We start from the raw sequence: 4,609 nt of genomic DNA on the forward strand, positions 1-4,609 counted from the left end.
TCCAGCTAAATATGACAGTCTTGGATTTATTTGTAAGTGTTTAAAATGTCCAATATTCAGAAGTTGTCAGGTGTTCTTACCACCTCCCCACTCCCTCAACCAGTCCCTGCTTCCAGGGTCCAGGAGAAGCAGTGTTCAGGCAGAGTAGTCTCTTGCCAGAGCAGAACAAGGAGTCCTGGTGGCCAAGTGGCAAGTATGCAGGCTGGGCTGGTCCCTGGTGGGACTTCTCCTGGGCTTTTCCTCCCATCATCTTCCTTCACGTGTCTCTCAGCCCTGCAATAGTCCAAGGACTCATGTGGCCCCTCTCGGCACCGCCTCCCATCCCTGCCCAGTCCACCCTTGATGGCTGTGCTCTCCAAGCCCACCTGGCAGAGTTTGGAGCTGATACCCTGGGTCATGGCCACAGTCCAGTTCACTGGGTGGATGTGTCCCTGGCTTCTGTCCATGCCAGGCTGCAGCCCAGAGGGCGCTGGCTGCTAGAATCTTGATGAGAAAGATGCAGGCCAGGAGGAGAAGGATGGAAGTGGGTGGGAAGGGGATTTCTCCTTCCAAGAGGCTCCTTGGAGAGACAAGAAGGCAGATGGGAGCCTTGAGATGGCCTACAGATTAGAATCTTCTCTCAGGGAATGGGGAGAAACCAGGAGCTTCTAGGACCTCAGCAAATCCCACCCAGCACCATCCCTGGGATGGGCCTTTTTGGAGCTTTGGGAGCCCATAGTCAAGAGACTTGAGTTCTAGGCATGCTCTGCCACTAACCTGCTGAGTGCACTTAAACACACCACCTTCCCTCACTGAGCAGTTTTCTTCTGTATACAGTGCTATGCCATGGGTGTGTGTGTGTACACACATGTGGTTATATGAACAACGTTTAAACACCAGTACACAGGCATGGACCAGTCAGAACTGATTCTGGTCCTACCAATGAAGCAGAGATCTGGGGGTCTTAGCTTTGTACTAAAGTACTAAAACATTCATTGTTGCTGAATTATGGGGATGTCTGGGGGCTGCCAGGGGAGGGGCGGGAGCTGATATTCAGGAGTCGTAGAGCAACTGCTCTTTACAAAGCATTATGGAAGTCTTCCAATAAATGAACAACTGACACAGTCACGCTAACTAACTAACATGTAGCAGCTGGTGGAGGGGTGTTTACATAAGAGATATCCAGGGCCCTTCAGGCTCTAGTTGCCTTGTAATTTGTAGTTCAGGATGCCCAGCCCCCACCCCCGTGGGGCTCTGCAGGGTGGAAGTCTGCCCACGGGTTTTAGGAAAGACCCATCGCTGTACCTGGAGATGCTGTGCTCCACATGGGCATCCTCGAAGCTCTCAGACTCCCCGGGGAACCAGAGATCTCCAGCATCCCGGTGATCCAGGGGGTCTATGGGAGGCAGAGCCATGAGCCTCCAGCCCCTTCCTCCTCGAGGCAGGGGGAGAACCTTGGCGGGAGAACCTTTATGGGTGGGGTGAGGTCCCCTGGGCACTGGTCCTATGTGGATCAGGTCATTACACTCCATAAGCCTCAGTTTCCCCACTTATAAAGTGGGCCGTTAGGAACACTTCCTTAATAGCAGGGTTGCCAGGATTCCGTGAGGGCACCTCTGTGCCGTATCCAGCACCTCATCGGAGCTCAGTAACTGCAATGCCCCCCTCCTTCCGCACAGGGGCTAAGAAGAGCAAATACAATCGTGGATGTACTTGAAAATCCTATCTAAACTGTCAAGCTGTCTACACAAGCTATGGGCTACTTTTATTTTTCTGTCTCCCTCTTGGGAGGTGGCTAAGGGAGTTCACTGCCACCGGCCATCCTTAGGAAAGTGGTGGAGGTGGGGTTTGTGTCTATGACTGGCAGTCTCCCCTGGCCTCCCCAAGTCAGGCAAATACTACTCCTGACCTCATTTCCATGGTAAAGAGCCATACTGGGAGAAGGGGTTGGAAAGGAGGAGAGTCAGAAAAGGCCTTTGTAGCCCCAGATTTGTTCTCCTTTGGGGACACAGTTGTGTTCTGCAGACTCAAGCAGAAGGCCTTCCTGGAGGGTGGTCCCTGCGCAGAGCTCGGGGGTGGAAAGGAGACACCCTGGCCCACCTACTCACACCTGGAATGACGATCCCAAGACAGTTCAGTAGCAGGAGGCTTGGAGCACATGTCACACCCTGCCCCCAACGCCCCCCGCCAAATAAAAACTCACAGGAACCCTATGGGGTCAGCAGGACAGACACCACCCTCTCCATTTACAGATGAGAGAATGGAGGCCCAGAGAAGTGAAGCACATTGCCCAGCACAAGCAGTGTTCCTTTCTAGGGGTGATTTTCTGCACCAGGTTGGTGCTTCACTTACGTTGATAGGGCCATTGGTTGGTTGGTGAGGGAATAAATTAATCTCCTCCTCCTTAAGGACCTCCTATCATGTTCACATGCTAACTGGATGGAGATGGATAAAGCTGTTTGGGCAAGGAGGGCCAAGGCCAGGCTAGTTCACAGAGTGCCTTAATGCAAAGTAGAGAAAGGTGCCCTTCTTGCAGGTGATGCAGCTCTGCACCAGGGAACACAGTCTGGCAAAAGGAGTCCGGGCTGGATTTTGGCCCCCTTGTATAGTGAGCAACCTGCACAACTATCCTTGGTAGCCCTGAGTAGGGAGATGAGACCATACGATGGGTTTTCCCAGGATCCCTGAGAGCCCAGTGGGTGGTTCTGCACACAGACGCCCAAAACATGAGGCCTGGAACAGGGGCAGGCCAGAGAGGCAGCCACTGCCCACTCACCTGCCAGCACCTCCACCAGGACCTTCCTGAGGGTGTCAGCCTCACTGCCATGGAGGCTCTGGCACTGGTAGAGACCCGCATCATGGGGTTGTAGATTCCGCAGCGTAATGGTGAGAGTGCCACCCAGGGTATCGTCTGTGATGGCTGTGCTCCCATTCCACCTCCTCAGGAAGGACAGCAGCCACAAGTTGTGCGTGCTGACCACACGCTGGCATGGGCCCTTCTCTCCCAGCTGGCGGCACCAGGCCTTGCGCCTCCCCCAGTGCTTCATGGAGTCATAGGGGCAAGACACCTGCAGGGACTGGCCCGCCACGCCCTGGAACACTGTGGTGTTGTGGGCTCCGGACAGCTCTGGGGAGGAGACATTCATTCACTCCTTTGTTTACCAAATACGCTTTGAACACTTGCTCTGTGCAGTGACCTAAACAGACAAAAATCCTGCCCTGAAGGAGCTTAGGTTCTTATACAAGTTGGGAGCGGATGGCACAGCATGTGTTTGTGGGAAATTGGGAACCAGGAAACCTGGGACCTGGGTTTGGTTTTCTCACTGTTGCTCTTGCTGGGCCTCCTTGGAGAAGTAACTGACCTTCTCTGGGTCTATTCTGGAGGCACTTGGTCTTAAAACCCCCTCCAGTTCTGTTCTGCACATCTCTTTGCCATCATTTGGGACTGGGACCTCTCCTCTCGGCCTGGGGCTGGCTCTCCCTGCCCCGCCACTCTTGCTTGCTCTGCAGCCGCCCACATTGGTACCGACTTTCCTGACCTTTAACTTCCAGCTTCCCTATTTCTGTGGCTTTGTTCCCCTTTCAGGAAGGACCCGTCTCGGAGATATTTTGGGGGAGACATGAGGCTGCTATTTTGGGAACCCTCCTTAGGGCGGGGGAGATGGGCTTAGAGCACCAGCCTGTTGCTGGGGCAGCCCCCAGAGCCCCCTGCTTTGACTTCTCTCTTGGTCCTCCCTTGCCTGCCATCTTCAACCATTACTGTGACAGAGGCTTGAAAGATAGGATTGGGAAGTTGGTGGCTTGCCTTTTGGAACTAGAGAGACCAGATGGGCCGTGGCCCTCTCCCATCTGACCACCTCCCATCCATGCCTCAGAACCCCGCCTTCCCCCTGACCACCATCTAAGAAGCTGCAGGAACAAGACTCCATTTGGCACCGTCTCTCCTCTTGCCCAGGTTTGTCCAGTGCTCTGGGGGAGCAAAAGGTGCGCTTTCCTCAGCGGGAAGAAGCAATTGTGTACAAAAATTTGGTGTGTCAATTCCCCTCAACTCAGCAACGGAAATCTCTACGCTCCTCACCTCCCATCAAGAGCTGAGGACAAGGGGACCTTCAGAGCAGGGGAGAGAGTGCCCCAAAGATGCAGATGAACATCCTCAGGTTCTTTCCTCCTTTATAACTGTAGGGGCTCATAATTAGTGGCTTATAATTTCAGAGGCTATTACCAGTGCCAGTGCCCCCCAAAGCTTCCCCCAACTGCCAGCTAGTGCCTGGGATGCCACTGTTAGCACTCCTTCCCTTCCAATGCAACCAGAGTCCACCAGCCCCTTACATGTCCACATGCAGAAAGAGTCTGAGGGTAGGTTTTGATACTGGGGAGGGAAGGAGGGTGTGAAGAATATGGGCAGGGTGGGGAGGAGAGGAGTGCAGAACAGGGCACTCAGGCATGCGAGGACTGCCACCGCCTTCATAATTCACCCCAGGGCCCACCACCCGCGCCCCAACCACATGCTCAAAGTGAGGGAGAGAAGGCATCACAGGGCACGGAGGGGATCCTACCTGTGACAAAGAGTAAGATGAGCAGCCGGAGAGGCTCCATGCCACCCTTCCCCAGCCAAGGGCAGAAGCAGAGT

At 54.2% G+C, this 4,609-nt stretch overlaps 1 protein-coding gene across 2 annotated transcripts; it reads right to left on the bottom strand.

Moving 5' to 3' along the window:
* TREM2 (triggering receptor expressed on myeloid cells 2) lies at positions 1 to 4,609 on the bottom strand. 2 transcript variants are annotated; one of them, NM_018965.4, is made up of 5 exons: positions 4,536 to 4,609; positions 2,756 to 3,106; positions 1,285 to 1,375; positions 366 to 559; positions 1 to 273 (listed from the first exon to the last, which is right to left on the bottom strand). In NM_018965.4, the coding sequence occupies exons 1-5, from the start codon at positions 4,573 to 4,575 to the stop codon at positions 257 to 259; spliced, it is 693 nt and encodes a 230-aa protein (NP_061838.1). In that variant the 5' UTR covers positions 4,576 to 4,609; the 3' UTR covers positions 1 to 256. The 2 variants fall into 2 exon arrangements, with proteins under 2 accessions (NP_061838.1, NP_001258750.1); NM_001271821.2 differs by lacking the exon at positions 366 to 559.

This window comes from Homo sapiens, chromosome 6 (genome assembly GCF_000001405.40).
Source record: "Homo sapiens chromosome 6, GRCh38.p14 Primary Assembly".
In the NCBI taxonomy this organism is placed as follows: Eukaryota; Metazoa; Chordata; class Mammalia; order Primates; family Hominidae; genus Homo; species Homo sapiens.